Below are 17,671 nucleotides of genomic sequence, written 5' to 3' on the forward strand. Positions count from 1 at the left end.
GAACAAGTAAATAAACGAATGGAAGACTGTGAACATGGAATCAGAAGAAGGCTTGTGATCTTCAGGGAAGTCCCATAACTTCCCTAAAGTGGAATGGAAGACTTCCCTAAACGAATGGAAGACTGTGAACGTGGAATCAGAAGGCTTGTGATCTTCAGGGAAGTCCCATAACTTCCCTAGAGTGGAATGGAAGACTTCCCTAAACGAATGGAAGACTGTGAACGTGGAATCAGAAGGCTTGTGATCTTTAGGGAAGCATTCTTCACATGAAAAACAGGAACCATAATTCTTATGTCATTTTGGTAATGATTATACAATATAACATTTATAGAAGCATCATGTAATAAACTGCTAAATAAAAGGCATTTTTGATCAAACTGAATTCTTCATCAGAGAGGTACTTAATTTTTATAATCTAAGAGCTACCAGATTGCCAAAAAGGAAGCACAGAAACATTCAGACACAGAAAACCTTAAAAATGGTTCTGATATTCAAATAAAATATAAAATGATTTATTCCAAAGCCATACCCAAAACATACAATGAAATACATCCCTGTTAAAGACTTAATAAAAAGAGCAATCTTTACATTTTACAATTTGAAGACCTTCTGTTCCCACAAAAAGTCTCATAAAATTCCATAAAGTGTCAAATGTATTTTCCTGTTTATATAAAATGTATTCTCTCTTCAAATATAGCCGTTTTATTATGAAATTGTTCTCAATTTCTGAAATTCTCAGTAGTCTATAGTATCCCATTTTCACATGCTTCTTAAAATGAGGTAAGAAGACAAACGGTGAAACTTTTTTCAGATCATTTTTTCAGAAGTCAATGCCTTGCTGATGCAAAGCGCAACATGCTTTTGTCATCCCTTTCATCTGAAATATTTTCCCAGTGGTTACTCAGTATTTTGCACACAAAAAACAGTTACAATACCTGCCACTTAAAAATCCATAACATGTTGTAATTCTTCTTATGTGATTTTAAGGTCTGAATCAAAGCCATTGCTACAGTGATTCACTATTTTCTTTACAGGTATTTTAATAAATATTCCTCAATTCTAGAAGACTGTTCCAATCCTTTAAAGTGGGGGTCAGCAAACGTCTTCTGTAAAGGTCCAGATATTTTGTTTTGTGTGTCATTTTTCTGATGGATATTTTTTACAACTGTAAAATATTTTTAAAAAATTATTTAGCTATTCTGTAATTTGTTACTCCATTATTTTAAAAAATAGAAGTAACTAGTCTCTAAATCAGACTACTCAAGTGTTAATAAAATGTAAACTTCACATTGTGCAGTAAAATAAATCCATGGTTTCTGACTACTAAATTGAAAGTTCATAAGCAGTAAGAAATGAATCCCACTCAAAGAGTGGGGCTACATTCCAGATATTCTTTTTAATCAATGACACTGTTTTAGAGCTTCTTTTTCACTTTCATTGAATAAGTCACATGTCTTTAGTTTGTTTTTTCTTGGTCTTACTTTTCACAGGGAAAAATTCTCTTCATGAGGCTAATTTGAAGTTTTTGAAATTAAAGACTGGAATACTTTCATGCTGACAGAGGTAGACGCACACGCACTGGTATATGCAGTTACAAATACTCGCATAAAATGGAAACCATTATTTCATATATAAATTAATTAATCACAAATGCTCTCCATGGCTAAGAAGGAATCAGTGGAAACCAGACAGAAGGTATGCAAGACAGTCCTACAGAATGTTCTAATTTGCTTTTATCACATGTAGTTGCTACATTTTAGGAAAACATGATTTAAATATGAAACATGTAATATAAATTAATATAGTGGCATGATTTATTCAGGTTCTCGATGCATATAACCTGGAGGTGACTAAACGCTGATCTATAACATGGTCCTATAGCTTGGTACTGAGAATCACAACTCTGCGTGTGTGTGTGTGTGTGTGTGTGTGTGTGTATGTTTTGCATGTTTTCCTTTCCTACCACAAACAGTGTTATAACCAGATTATGGCAAATAAAAGAACAGTTGTAAATTTACCCAAATATATCATAAACAAGTTGGAACACTCTGGAATTACAGTCATATGATATTCTACAAAAATATTTACAAATTCTAAAGCTGAAAAAGTTGAAAACTTTGGTATTCCTAAAAAGAGAAAGTTCAGGGCCATGCGTGGTGGCTCACACCTGTAATCCCAGCACTTTGGGAGGCAAGGTGGGAGGATTTCTTGAACCCAGAGTTCGAGACCAGCCTGGCCAACATGGTGAAACTCCGTCTCTATCAAAAATACAAAAATCAACTGGGCGTGGTGGTGCACGCCTGTAATCCCAGCTACTTGGGAGGCTAAGGCACAAGAATCACTTGAATCCAGAAGGCAGAGGTTGCAGTGAGCTGAGATCATGCCACTGCACTCCAGCCTGGGTGACAGAGTGAAACTGTATCTCAACGACAACAACAAAAATTTAGCCAGGTGTGGTGGTGCAGGCTGCAATCCCAGCTAGTCAGGTGGCTGAGGCAAAAGAATCGCTTGAACCTGGGGAGGCAGAAGTTGCATAAACTGAGATCATGCCACTGCACTCCAGCCTGGGTGACAGTGAGACTCTGTCTCCAAAAAAAAAAAAAGAAAGAAAGAAAGTTAAAGTATACTGGGGAGTCCATGCTTAATTTTTGAACTATAAAAAGTTTTCAGTGCAAAATTATTGCTATTGATAAATAGCAATGACACAAAAACCACATGAAACACTTAACATCTATACAACACATAACAATATCCTGAAGGTATGTTTTGGCATAGAAAAGGTAATTCGGGGATAGGAAATAACAGATTGCTTTACTGATTTAATTCTAAGTCTGGGTGTTGGAGTGTTTAAACACTCTCTTTTTGCAAACAGACTCAGCATATTTATAGCTCATCATGTTTCTTCTTAAATGGCCACTTTGGGTGTTGCAATACGTGGTCTGCAGCCTGAAGGACAAGATACATAAATTCTTCTACATCGAAAGAGTAGTTGGTGAACTTCGGGTGCTCCCCCAGGGTTGGATGGTGGCCCTGTGAAAATAAACCAAAACACGAATCCATAACTCAATGAGGGCATGGTTTTCTCTACAGCAGGAAAATTATGTTACTTTGGTTAAGGCAACTAATTTATGTTCTACATCAGAGACCAGCAAACTTTTCCTGATAAGGGCCAGATGATAAATATTTTCAGCTCTGCTGACTCTAAGGTCTCAGTCACAGTTACTCCACTGTCGTTGAAGTGCACAAACAACTAGAGACAGTGCATAAACAGACAGGCATGACTGTGCTTTCTTTACAAAAACATGTCATGGGCTGGATTTGCCCACAGGGCTGTTGCTTGTTGATCCCGTCTCTATATATAATCTAATAGATCTTTCTAAGCCCAAATTTCACGAAGCTGCCTTTGTAACATTAAAGATATAGGTTGCTTAATTCCCCTTTTTCTCCTATTTGCAAATATAAAATAAAACAATTCAGTATTCCAGAGAACAGTTTATCTTTGCAGCACTGAAGTTCAATAACCATTTTTCATATCAATAATTGGATACTTTAAACCAATTAAAAATGAAGCAAGGTAAGTTTTGTGATTGAACTTTACCTTATCCTGAGGAAAGACTTTGTTCTGCCGTCGCCAAGTGATGTAGTGAACGCCTCTCAGCCTGGCCAAGTCTAAGTAACAGCGTTCATCTTCACAGTTGTACCTAAGGACACAAGGGTGTCACAACATGAGGCTTTTGTCCAAGGTTTTTTCCAAATCAACAACTCTGCGAAAATAAAATGCAGCTCCCAAATATGTCCTTGCAAAAGGTTGTAAACAAGACTGAGGAAGACAGTAAACAAGACTGAGGAAGAGAATGTAAAAATATTCTCTGAACTAAATGAACTTAACTTTTAAAAAACAAAATAGGGTCATGGAATGGAGAGAATTGACCTTATTCAATAGGGCCTGCTGCCTATGGACTTGGCATGACCTTATAATACCTCTGTCTTTAAATGTATGAAAGAGGCAAGGGGGATAGGTAACACTTCCAAGGTCATATAACTAAATAGTGAAGGATGCAAAAGTAGAACCCAGGTCCATTAGACTATAAGGCTTGAGTTTTCTCAGTTACATTTCTCTCCCTTCTCTCTCCTTTCTTCCATCCTTCCTTCTCTCTCTATAAGAGAAATGACAGAGATAGAATCCATTATCTGGCTATTTCTCTACATATATCATATATATTTTTGAAATGTTTTGCAGGGCATTGGAAGTTCATGACAACTTTTTTCCTAAATAGCCTCCTATTTAAATACAGAGTCAAATCACTTTTAAAATGAAACCATAGAACCCAGATATTTAGACATAATGGGGGGAAACAGGTAACAGTAACTGCTATTAGTGTCTCAAGACCTAAAATGGAGCACAGTGCCAACAGCAGAATTATTATGAGAGGGAAGGTCATGTCTCCATAAACCAACCACTGAGTTAAAAGTATGCCCTGGGCAAATCATGAACACCCAAGGGCCTCAGTTTCCCTGTGTATGGGATCAGCAAGCACTAAGTTAAGTGGTTGGCTTGTGTTTTGAAGCTATGTCGTGCATGAGACATAAATGCTTTCTTTTAACACAATAACTACACTGTTTGCAAGAAGACGCTCAGAGTTTGGGAGGTATGCAGGAACAAACTCAGAATAAGGAAACCACAGATTCACATCTTCCATATCATGCTCGGGATGGGAAGATGAAGGGGTAGTTGGCTTACTAAGTGCAATGGCAGGCTGCAGACTTTGTATTTTTAGCTTCAGGCCTCTTTTCTTTCCAGATTGTCTATATGATGTGACTTCTCTTTTTGAATGATTAAATATTAAGCCTTTTGATGCTCAGAATGAAAGCTTTAGCATGCATAAAAAGCATTATCAGTTGCTTCAGTGTAAAACTGCCTCCCAACACTTACAGTTCAAATACAGCAGCCCAGTCTGGAAGGAAAAGTAAATGGGTCAGACCAGCTCCATGCATTCCAATAAATATGTCCGTGTTGTGTGTGATCCTTAGTTGATCTAAAAACCCAAGTTCTCTGTGAACATACAGAATAACATGAGAGAGATGGGGAGAAGAGAGAAGTATTAGGTTGAGTTAGTTCATGATTCACAGTAAGGATATTTATAAAAGTGTATTGCCCATTTTAAACCACATTCCATTTTTAAGAAGCATTTTTGCCAATTTCAAGTGCGCTCTAGTAATTAATAAGTTTCTTAATAATTTAACATATTTTCTAAGTAAGCTCACCTATCCTTTTAGGTTTAAGTACTTTTTTTAAAGGAAACTTTAATATCTGTCTTAAATGGAAAAGCAGTGACATATGACATCAACAAAACTGTAAAAATTGATATAATCAAACTAAGTAGTGTTCAAATCGAGGTAGATACTATTGCAAGACAAAGCTCAGAGCCTGAGGCCTGCTCTTTCTTCATGAAAAAGAGAAATTGGCAAGTGTTAAAGAGATGTTGTGACACACTAGCACTAAATTAAAAACTATTTCCTTAGGACAATAGAAGCACTTTTTAAAAAGAAACATTTCTCCTTGTGTGATTTAAGTTTTTATAATGCCCTCTGGGTACCTCCAAAATGATCTCAGATACCACCAGGGCATTATCCTGCCTTTGGAACAGACAAATCCACAATTTTATGCATGTTAGGACTGTACAAGTGTTCTCTAAATCCAAGACACTAACCAGTGTGTAAACTTTGAACCAAAAATCAGTCCCCAAACAATTCACTGAGGTGAGGCTAGGGAGAAATGCTGGAATAAGGGTGACACTCTGAATAAACAGAAAGAAATGAGATCTCCCAGCCCCAACTTACCCAAAGTAAAGAAAAATAAATGATCAAGATTATTTTGGATCTACGAAGGGAAGCTGAATTCCCTTTTACACCAGCTAACAACAAAAACTCCGCATAGGAAAAAGATGACAGCTCCATGTGTATGTGTATCACAACGAGAACATGTGCCTCAGTTTCTCCAGGAATGTGAACTGATGCCAAGGGAAGGACGGCCATTCACCCAGGTGAACATACCCCTGCACTGCCAGTTGTGGAAACGCCTGTGGTCAGCACTCACCAATCCCCATGCCAACATGTTACTAGTATTTCCCGCAGACTGGCAAGGTACGAATTCATTATCATTCTTGCTTATCTGAGAAACTACAACATATCCTTAAAAGCCAGTCAATGATACAGCCTCAGAGGTGCCCTGCCCAGTTCTTTCCATTTCTTCCCAGCCTCATCTAGGTGAATGGTTTTGGGACTGATGTGGGGGCCCCATATTGGCTCACTCATTTCTTCAAGCAACACTGACACAACATTTCTTCAGCGCAGCAGATTTTACATAATCTGTAAAATGGGACTAGCTGGGCCAACTCAGAAGACTGTTGAAAGCGTGAGATGAGATAAAGCAAGTAAGCATAAAAGTACATTTCGATAAATAGTAGCTGTTTTTACAATTGCTATTTACCTCTATTCAGTGTCTGAGATCCTCAAGACCAGGGCTATGCCATCCGCCATAATGGGATTCCTACTGCTGAGACTGGTGACCAGCTCATGGGTCCCCAATAGAGATTTATTGCACAAATGAACTAATGTATGATGAATGAAGTGCAAAGCTCCCATGCCAACATTCTCTGAAATTAAGTGTATCTATATTAGATACCCACATGCTGGGATATGTATACTTCTTTTAACTGGAAAGTGTTCACAGTGTTAGATTTGGGAAACACAGCTGTGACTGTAGGTGGACATGGAGACAGAAGTTTTCACTTTTCCTTTTGATCTTTTCTATACTGCTTGACTTTTCAACCAGAAACATGTACTACTTTTACCAGGAAGATGTAATTCTAGCAACAGGAATTACCCAAACTGTGAATAATAGGCATATTCTGTCTTTCTAAGCCTTTTAGTTGTGTTAAGAGTTTTAAAAGAAATGTAAATATTTGGTAAGTTTTTTTAAAATTTCATGTTATTCTGACCCTCAAATTATCCCCATATAAATAATTTTCAGTCAGATGTTGAAATCTGGCAGGAGGCAGGGCAAATTAGGTTTATAACATCTAAATTTTGATAACTTTTTTGTTATCAAACATTTGATAATGTTATCAAATATTTGATAAATTTTATAACACCTAAATTTTGAACTAGTTGCCAATTTTTTTTTTTTTGAGACAGAGCCTCGTACTGTCACACAGGCCGGAGTGCAATGGTGCAATGTCAGCTCCCTTCAACTTCTACCTCCTGGGTTCAAGCCATTCTCCTGCCTCAGCATCCTGAACAGCTAGGACTACAGGCACACGCTGCCACACTCGGCTAATTTTTTTTATTTTTTAGTAGAGATGGGGTTGCACCATGTTGTCCAGGTTGGTCTTGAACTCCTGAGCCCAGGCAATCCACCCATCTCAGTCTCCCAAAGTGCTAGGATTACAGGCGTGAGCCATCGTGGCCAGTCTGCCAATTTTTTAAAATTATGAAATTTTAGGCCGGGTGTGGTGGCTCATGCCTTTAATTGCAGCACTTTGGGAGGCAGAGGCGGGCAGATCACTTGAGGTCACGACTTCAAGACCAGCCTGACCAATATGGTGAAACCTCGTCTCTACAAAAAATACAAAAATTAGCCGGATATGGTGGCACACGCCTGTAGTCCCAGCTACTCGGGAGGCAGAGGCAGGAGAATTACTTGAACCCAGGAGGTGGAGGTTGCAGTGAGCTGAGATGGCACCACTGCACTCCAGCCTGGGTGACAGAGCAAGATTCTGTCTCAAAAACAAACAAACAAACAAACAAAAAATTCTGAAATTTTAAATGAAAATCTGAATTCATCACTTCTTTTGAATAAGGAGATGGAGTGACAACATCAGGCCCCAGAAAGCCAAAGAGTAACTGCCCTTGTTACCAGGGACTTCACCTGCCCATTTCATTCATCTGTAGTGTCTACTTGTCCCTTCTGGGCCTACAAATGCCAATGGCTCCCACTGGAAAAATGCTTTCTAGCCCCCTTGACCTCATCCAAGCAAAAGTTGACAGTGTCTGCTGAGATTGGCTATTACTTACCTATACTTGTAATCAACAATCTGGACTTCAAATGTAGATACTGTTTTCAGTGCATTTACAAGCTGGGAAAAAAAGAGAAACATTTAGCATTTCTTTTCCTTCTTTCACTTCTGTTTTTCCCTTATGAGTCCTAAAATTTCTTTTTTTGCATATACTATTTCAGATATTAAATATCATTTGGTAACAACAACAACAAATAAAAAGAAAATAAATAAATATCATTCAGGTCAATAGTTCTGAACTGTCATTAAGTTCAAATCCAGGCCCCACCTGTGAACACACGACTCTACCTCCCTCAGATACCAATGCACTGTGTTGCTGTGAGGCTGAAAGGAGAAGACAATTCAGGGAAGTAAAGTGCTAGGCACAGAAATAGCTAACCATTAACTGTTGTTATTACCATTTGCTTATTATTCCCTCAACTTTCAACACACATTTTTGGGCATCAGAATGCCCAAAATGTTCTAGACTTTACCTTAAGAGTTTTTGCCCCATCCATTATCTCATTTCAGACAACACTAGCGCTTTGAACCTCATCCTCTGAAAATACTAAGGTCTTGGCAGAAAAACATTTTCAGTACTTCTACATAGAAAAACAATTATTCTTCTAGCAAACAGAAAGTAACAAAGCATTGTTAATCTATTATCAAAAATATAGTCATGGTTCTCTGTCCCTCACAATTAGGCCACGGGGGATCACCACCATTCAGAAATTTCTGCAACTGTGTCATGTTGCCTTGTGGCATGCACTGCACTGCAACAGCAACATCAACAGTTGCAAGTATCATTGATGGGGCATGTAAATGGTGCTGGCATTTCTAAGAGTGTCGTTAGGTTTACTTCACTTAATCCTCGTAAGAATCACACCAGTGGCTGGGCGCAGTGGCTCACACCTGCAATCCCAGCACTTTGGGAGGCCGAGGCGGGCAGATCACCTGAGGTCAGGAGTTCGAGACCAACCTGACCAACATGGTGAAACCCCGTCTCTACTAAAAATACAAAATTAGCTGGGTGTGGTGGCACATGCCTGTAATCCCAGCTACTCGGGAGGCTAAGAGAAGAGAATCACTTGAACCCGAGAGATGGAGGCTGCAGTGAGCCGAGATCGTGCCACTGCACTCCAGCCTGGGCAACAAGAGCAAAACTCTGTCTAAAAAAAGAAAAAAACATACCAAATATCATACCAAGTAAGTATTAGTACTATGCCCACTTTACAAATTAGACAAGATAGGCTCAGAGAAGTGAAATAACTTTCCCAGGATCTCACAGCTCCCAAATGCACAGCCAAAAATAAATCTAGGTCTTCTGACCCCAGAACCTGCGTTCTTAACCAGTGCACTCTATTGTCCTGCTTACAGAAAGCAACAAGCAGTGACCAACATTTAATCCCCTCCCCTCTCTCTCTCTCTCTCACACTCACACACACACACACGCACACAGTCATAACATGGAAATTTCCCTCTCCAGACAGCCACTGAAATCTTATAAAGAGTTGAAGGGGTAAGAAGATTAGAATTCTGTTTTACAGGAGAGATGGCAGATGGCATAAGCCTTGGTCTTTTAACAAGATTGCCCACATAAAAGGAATCATGTGTGCTGACGGTCTCAGGGCAAGCATGCCCTTTTTCATGACTTCTAGTTGCACGAAAAAGGTGGCCCTATCCCTTCCGATGGCTATTCAAACCCTAAAGTTGGGCAGAATTCCACAAGCCATGATTTAATGAGGCCATTTGGGTTGATTAATACATACCTGTTTATTAATCAAAGTATAGCCAAAGGTGCTTTCTTCCCTTCCCAGGAGCTGCCTTTCTAGTAACATCCAATCCTCAAGAAAGAAGCAGCCAGTTGGGTGCTCTTTGGCTTGGAGTTGGGGGCTGAATGATCAAATTTCGCCTTTGGGTGCCATCATCTGGGCAATGCGCATGACTGGATCTGAAAACCTCACACATGCACTAAAGCATCTACCAGCACTATACCTTTCTACTGGACTTCTCTGCAGTGGCCTGATGTTGTTCCTCAGCCTGCCCCTTCCTGATGGACTGGGGCCAGAGGTAGCTTCTGCCTCCTCTGAAATCTATTTGCTGTTTTAGTAGTAGCACACTCTGGCTAAGAAAGCAGTTTCAGTCCCTGACTACCTTGACTCACGCCCCCGTTACTCTAATCACCAGCCGGGTGACCTTAGGCATGTTTTTTAACCACTGAGCCTCAGTGTCCTTGTCTAGAATAGAGGATAATAATACAATACCTACCTCATGGGTTTGCTGGGAGGGTTGGGGGGCACAATGTACAAAAGGAGCACACAATAATATGCTTGACCCCCAACTGCACTCAATATGTATGGTCTATACCAATATATACTGTTGATCTGTTGGCTAGTGAGGCTTCTCATTTGTATTCCCAACATTGCACTATTTGATACGTTCGTATTTCTAGGTCTTTAAACACACACATACAAACACACACACTGCTCATTTCTTCCATCCACAGAGCTTACAATTAACACCTCATTATGCCATATGTTCATGTCCTCTGTAATCCATATGGGTCTCAGGAAGAGATGTTAATTACATAATTCGGATCAGCCTGTTAGGCAGCCAAATTAGTCTGTGTAAAATATTTTACCCATCAAAACATGACACACACCACCTCCCCCCTCAACTTTCCTCTTACTGAATATTTTCCAGTTTGTTTCCACTTATCTGCTCAAGTTAAAAGCCTCAAGTCACACTTGATCCTTGATACCTTTCCTGGCCTTCTCTAATGTGAATGTACTTTTACATTCCAAAAGTAAGTATCATAGGTCCTATCTCCAAAATATGTCTTGAATGCATCTACCATGTCATCTCTACTGTCATCACTTTGGCTAAACACTCTCCCCTGGGCCACAATAACAACTTCTGATCAATCTCCTTGCAGAATGACTTAAAAATAAATGTCAATTCATGTCTCTCCCTCTGTATTTGTTTTCTATCTGCTGCTGTAACAAACTGCCACAAATTTAGCAGCTTAACACAACACAATTTATCCCCTTACAGTTCTGCAGGATGGGAGCCTGACGTGGGTCTCACTGGACTAACACCAGGGTGTCAGCAGGGCTGTGTTCCTCCTGCAGGCTCCAGGAAAGAACCCACTGCCTCACCTTTTCCAGCTTCTAGAAGCCCTCCACACTCCATGACTCATAGGCCTGCCCCCTCCATCTTCGAAGCCAGCAACATGGCATCTCTCTGGCCCCACTTCCCTTATATCTCCCTCTCCCACTTTTAAGGAAATTATGAACTCTGATTTGATCAGTGAGAAGAATCCAGTGAAGAAAAGAGCTGTCCAGGCCGAGGCAAAAGTTCTCTAGCAGATGGAGTTTAAGGCCCATTTGTGATTATACTGGGCTCACGTGGATGATCCAAGATAATCTTCTTACTTTAAGGCCAGTTGGTTGGGGACCTTAATTCCATCTGCAACCTTACTTTCCCTATGCCATGTAACCTAACCTGTTCACAGATTCCAGGGATTTGGATGTGGACATCCTTTGGGAGGAGCAGGAAGAGACATTATTCTACCAACAACGCCCTGCTTTAAAACTTCACAATGGCTTTCCCCTACACTGGAATAAAATCCCTCTCCCACCAAGGTCTAGGAGGCTGATACGATCTGTGGCCCCCTGCACCATGCCTGACCTCTTGGATATCGCCCCACCTCTCTCAAGATGCTACAGTCATATTGGTATTCTGTTTCTAGAATACTGAAAGCTCAGTCCACTAGAATACATTTGACTCTGCCCGAGAGGCTCTCTCCCTTGCTAGATTCTTCTCTGATTAGGTCTTTGAATGCCCTCATGTGAGTACAAACCCCCATCCATCCACATCCCCAGTCTCTATGACATCACCCTGGTTCATCCTTCAAAGCACTTATCACTGCCTGACATCACCGTACTTATTGACGTTTTCACTTACTTCTTATCTGTCTCTCACCTCTACGGTGTAAGCTCCATGAGGTCAGGCACCTTCCCCGTCTTTGCTCTACTCTATCTCCAGGGCCTAGAACATGGCCTGACACATAGCAGGTGCTCAATTAACTATTGTAGAATAAATTCTTACTACTGAGAGGCTATCTTCAGGCCATGATGTTGTAGGTAGTGGCCTTGCATGGTGATCTCATTGAGGTTAAATGTAATTTATGAGTTGGTGCTACTGAAATGAGTAAGGATGCTGAAAATGCAGTTTCTAAGACATGGTCATGTAAGAGGACAGAGATTCTTCCAACTAAATCTGCTGCTGATACCACAGGATTAATGGCCTCAACCATCTGTTGCATCAACTATGCAAAAGAAAGTCTTACATTTTTGCTACTTGTCTGTCCGGATGCCCTCTACTGCAGTCAAGGCAAGATTCTGACAGCTTTTTCCATGCTGAGTTGATGCAGATGAAATTTACTATAAGGCAAAGCTAGTTTGTCTATGGGTGGTTTGGTGAATCTCACTAGAAATTCAAATCTAATAAATAAACCGGGCATAGGCCATCAAACTTTTCTCAAAACTAAGTTTTAAACCAAAGCTTTTAACGTAATGTGAAAAAAAAAAAAACACAATTTGCTCTATGAATTGAATATGAAGGCATTAAAAATGCATACCAAAAACTAACCTCATTTTGGTTAAGGATTTTCCGGTATTCTGTGCTCCGTGCAAGAATGGTGACTCGAATTTTTCCATCCTGTAATCAAAATGAAACGGTAAAATAACACTGCATATGCCTGGGTAGATGAATGAACATCTGAACCCAAAATGTGATTTTCACAAAGAGATGAAACTCAACCAGGATACATTAATAGAACTCTTCTTTTTTAGCTTGATTCCTTCACCACTCTCAGGGAATAAAAATGTATCCACTTCAACCACCGAAGGCAAAAACCAGCTCATTACATTGTCTGTTTGGTTGGGTGGGTGAATTTTTTGGCAGGGGTTGTGTATGTTACATGAACATTTGGGGAGGTGAGGGAGATATAACCAATGAAGGGGGAAAGGAGGACAGGAGGAAGCACATTCTTGTAATATCCCTTAGCTTCTCTTTTATAGGTTTTTGACACCTGGTTTCAGATGACTCCAGGTCAGAAAATGTTTTTGGGTTTTGTTTTGGGGCAGTCTTGCTCTGTCGCCCAGGCGGGAGTGCAGTGACATGATCTTGGCTCACTGCAGCCTCTGCCTCCTGGGTTCAAGCGATTCTCATGCCCCAGCCTCCTGAGTAGCTGGGACTACAGGCACATGCCACCTCGTCCAGCTAATTTTTGTATTTTTTGCAGAGATGGGGTTTTGCCATGTTGGCCAGGCTGGTCTTGAAATCCTGGACTCAAGTGATCCACCTGCCTTGGCCTCCCCAGAAAATGTTAACACAAAAACATGGTCTCCTGATTATTTCTGTTTCTGAAAAGGTGGTATCGATTTTTATTAGGGAAGAAAACTCAAGCCCACCTCAGAATCCGCAGTGTATCCATTACCTTAGGTCCTTCTTGTGTGATGTTTAGTCTGTGTAGTACATGCTGGGCAAATGCCCTGAATAGTCCAGTATTTTGACAGCCAGATATCTAAAATAAAAACACTGGTTCATATTACAATGAATACTTCTGTATTATAATTTAAGATACTGTCAACTTATGTATAAATGTTATGTCTGTAAATATGAATGCTAATGGTAGACAATGTGCTTACCAGAGGAGTATTATAGAACAGCCCATACCTCATGCGGGGGAGTAATGAAAAAACAGCTTCTTTAAAACATACCTAAGAACAAAGATACATTAAAAGAAGATGTAATTTGCACCCTTCACACCAAAAATAGCACGTATAATTTTGAGAAATAGATTTTAATTAATCTCCATTTTGCATTGCTTGAATAGCACACTATTTCATTCAAAGAGAACAGAATTCATATTTTTGGAAAGATTATAGAAAAAACTTTTCAAAGGCTGCATGATTAACAACACTGAGGATTCTAATTATAAAAGAAATTCAGAAATTCAGAAATCAGTGGTAATGGCTAATAGGAACTCATAATAAATGTTTATTTTATGAGTGAGTCATCTGCACTCAAGAAATATTCACAGACATTTCAGGAAAATTTCCAGTACCCTTTTGGAATCATAAGTTTTCAAATGTATAACGTCATAATCAGTAAATGCATTCCATGTGTCGGAGAATAGGTCACCATATCCGTAAGAACTCTGAAAGTAGAAACAAAACAAGGTTTTAGGGCAATAAAAGGATATAACATGACTTTTCAAAGATGCAACAAAATACCTGAATTTGCCTGTGTTAAAAACTAACAATCCTACGCAAGTTCATAAAATCCATACAAGCAAAATGGATCTTCATCTTGGGCCAGAGCAAATGCCTAATTTGATGAAATATCATCAGAAATAATTATCACAATTATACTCTTAGCCATTAATAGTGTTTCATTTTTCTACCTTAACTTCTTTTATTCTCACATCTTTGTAGTTCAGGGCTTTTTCCTGTGAACATCTTATCCAAATTATAGATACACACAACACACACTATGCCACCGTTTACACACACTCTTATGCTCAGTGTGCAAAAACCATCAGGGTGAATGAAAAATCTTTGGAAAAAAATTTCAGAGCAAGAAAATGGGTTCAAAGTTTTAACACTGGCTGGGTGCGGTGGCTCACAGCTGTAATCCCAGCACTTTGGGAGGCCGAGGCGGGCAGATCACCTGAGGTCAGGAGTTTGAGACCAGCCTGACCAATATGATGAAACCCCATCTCTACTAAAAATACAAAAATTAGCCAGGCATGGTGGCATGTGCTTATAATCCCAGCTACTCGGGAGGCTGAGACAGGAGAATCACTTGAACCTGGGAGGCGGGGGTTGCAGTGAGCCGAGATCATGCCATTGCACTCCAGCCTGGGCAACAAGAGCGAAACTCCATCTCAAAAAAAAAAAAAAAAAAAAAAGAAAGGTTTAACATTAAAAATATAGGCTGGTCACAGTGGCTCATGCTTGTAATTCCAGCGCTTTGGGAGGCAAAGTGGGAGGATCACTTGAGCCTTGAAGTTTAAGGCTGCAGTGAGCTATGATCATGCCATATACTCCAGCCTGGGCAACAGAGCAAGACCTTGTCTCTAATAAAATAAAATAAAATAAAAATATATAACATATGTAATTCTATGAAATATCCCCCCACCCATTGACTAGTGAATAAAAAGTGGTAATTTCCCATTAATATTAATGGTGTCAATAACAACTTTATATAATAATAATAGCATCTTACATACTTCCTATGTTCCAGGCAGTTTTTTTGGGCACTTGATATTATTAATGTACATTAAGCCACCCACAAGCCTAATGAGTTGATAATATCATTTTCTCTATTTTGCAGATGAGGAAACTGAGACACAATTTTAAGTCATTTGCCTACATTGCGAAGCAGCTGAGTTATAGAGCTGGTATTCAACCCAGCCTGTGCTGCCACTTCCATCTGACAGCTGCCTTTCAGCAGGAATTAGTTCTTTCCAGTATAATTACCACATGCTTTTTTTTTTTTTTTTTTTTTTGAGACTGAGTCTCACCCTGTTGCCCAGGCTAGAGTGCCATGTCGTGATCTGGGCTCACTGCAACCTCCACCTCCCAAGTTCAAGCAATTCTCCTGCCCCAGCCTCCCGAGTAGCTGGGATTACAGGCGCACGCCACCACACCCGGCTAATTTTTGTATCTTTTGATAGAGACAGGGTTTCACCATATTGGCCAGGCTGGTCTCAAACTCCTGAGCTCAAGTGCTCCGCCTACCACGGCCTCCTAAAGTGCTGAGATTACAGAAACCACACCCAGCCTGATTTATTTTTTGAAAAGTAGTTGATTATGAGCTCCATTAGCTAAGAAGATCAATTAATTTTTAAATGGTTTCACTTAGATTGAAAAATTCAGCCAATAGAAATCAGAAATATGCATTGTAGCACTACATTCAAGCTCTACAGTTATACATTATGTTCATGTCTCTTTTTTATAGCATTCTTTTCTCAGATTTTGAAAATTTTATGTTGCACATATTACAGTTATTTCAAAGTTATTGAGATCTGTTAGATGTGAAAAAAAAAAAAAAAAGCCTTCTTTCCATGTTCCTCCAATGCCATTCTAATAAAGGCCCTTCTCAACACCATCTAAAATGAAATGTCCCTGTTCTGGCTCAATAATAAATAAAGGGCAATTAAAAGAAGTGATTCTAGATGGTTTCCTGAGATAAAATACTTCAGATAAAATAAAATATGTTTGAAAGGAAATTTTAATAATAAAATACAGTAATCCTGACTGATCCTTCCTCAGGGAAGTCATACATTATTGAATAAGAACCACCTCCAAAAGCTTCTTTTCCATGTTTCCCAAGTCCAAATTATCCACCATTTGGGAAGGAGGCACTTCTTCCTATACTCATGTTGAAGAATATTTGGATAGTCTTCAAGATGACATAAAATTTCCTTTAGTGTGTCTCAAATTTAAACATGCACATAATCTATGACTTAGAAATTCCAATTATAGGAATCTGTCCTACAGAAATGCTAGGATGAGCATGTGAAGATATAGGTATATTGAAAGGACATATGTGTTTATGGTCACATTTCAGTAAATAGCACAGAACTGGAAACAAAACTAAATGTGATGGGGGGTGGAGTGGGAAATGAATACATGCACTGATGCATGCATCCAACTTCCAAAACATCCATTAAACAGAATACCACATAACATCTAAAGCAAGGATAGCCCTAAAGGTACTGACTTAAAAAGACATTCCACAGATAATACTAAGGTGGCAATATGAGACAGAGAATGTATTTTCCATAAGAATATAAACATATTGGCCAGGCTCATGGCTGTAATCCCAGTGCTTTGGGAGGCTGAGGTGGGAGGATCACTTGAGGCCAGGAGTTCAAGACTGTATTAGCCAGTTTTCACACTGCTGATAAAGACATACCCTGAGACTGGGAAGAAAAAGAAGTTTAACTGGACTTACAGTTCCACATGGCTGGGGAGGCCTCAGAACCATGGCGGGAGGTGAAAGACACTTCTTACATGGCAGCGGCAAGAGAAAATGAGGAAGAAGCAAAAGTGGAAAACCCTGATAAACCCATCAGATCTCATGAGACTTATTCACTATCACGAGAATAGCATAGGAAAGACTGGCCCTCATGATTCAATTACCTCCCCTTGGGTCCCTCCCATAAGATGTGGGAATTCTGGGAGATGCAATTCAAGTTGAAATTTGGTGGGGACACAGCCAAACCATATCATTCTGCCCAGGGCTCTCTAAATCTCGTGTCCCCACATTTCAAAACAAACCATGCCTTCCCAACAGTCCCCCAAAAGTCTTAACTCATTTCAGCACTAACCCAAAAGTCCACAGTCCAAAGTCTCATCTGAGACAAGGCAAGTCCCTTCCACCTATGAGTCTGTAAAAACAAAAGCAAGCTAGTTCCTTCCTAGATACGATGGGGATACACGTATTGGGTAATTACAGCCGTTCCAAATGGGAGAAATTGGCCAAAACAAAGGGGTTACAGGGCCCATGCAAGTCCGAAATCCTGCATGGCAGTCAAA

The 17,671-nt window shown here is 39.7% G+C and overlaps 1 protein-coding gene across 21 annotated transcripts in view; it reads right to left on the reverse strand.

Annotated features, from left to right (window-relative positions):
* Positions 491-17,671, reverse strand: part of EOGT (EGF domain specific O-linked N-acetylglucosamine transferase) — a 38,460-nt gene continuing 21,279 nt past the window's right edge. For 9 of the 21 annotated variants that reach the window (NR_103826.2, XM_017006205.2, NM_001278689.2 and 6 more), the window contains 8 exons: positions 14,191-14,283; positions 13,772-13,843; positions 13,561-13,647; positions 12,711-12,779; positions 8,077-8,138; positions 4,934-5,053; positions 3,599-3,701; positions 491-3,030 (listed from right to left, as the gene is read on the reverse strand). Coding sequence is in view for 20 of the 21 variants with exons in the window: in XM_017006205.2 (XP_016861694.1) it covers positions 2,884-3,030; positions 3,599-3,701; positions 4,934-5,053; positions 8,077-8,138; positions 12,711-12,779; positions 13,561-13,647; positions 13,772-13,843; positions 14,191-14,283 (753 nt within the window). In the remaining variant the exon portion in view is untranslated. Of the gene's footprint in view, positions 3,031-3,598; positions 3,702-4,933; positions 5,054-8,076; positions 8,139-12,710; positions 12,780-13,560; positions 13,648-13,771; positions 13,844-14,190; positions 14,284-17,087; positions 17,142-17,671 lie in introns of all 21 variants that reach the window. The other 12 variants (XM_011533602.2, XM_011533600.2, XM_011533599.2 and 9 more) reach the window with 3 other exon arrangements.

This window comes from Homo sapiens, chromosome 3 (genome assembly GCF_000001405.40).
Source record: "Homo sapiens chromosome 3, GRCh38.p14 Primary Assembly".
Lineage (NCBI taxonomy): Eukaryota > Metazoa > Chordata > Mammalia > Primates > Hominidae > Homo > Homo sapiens.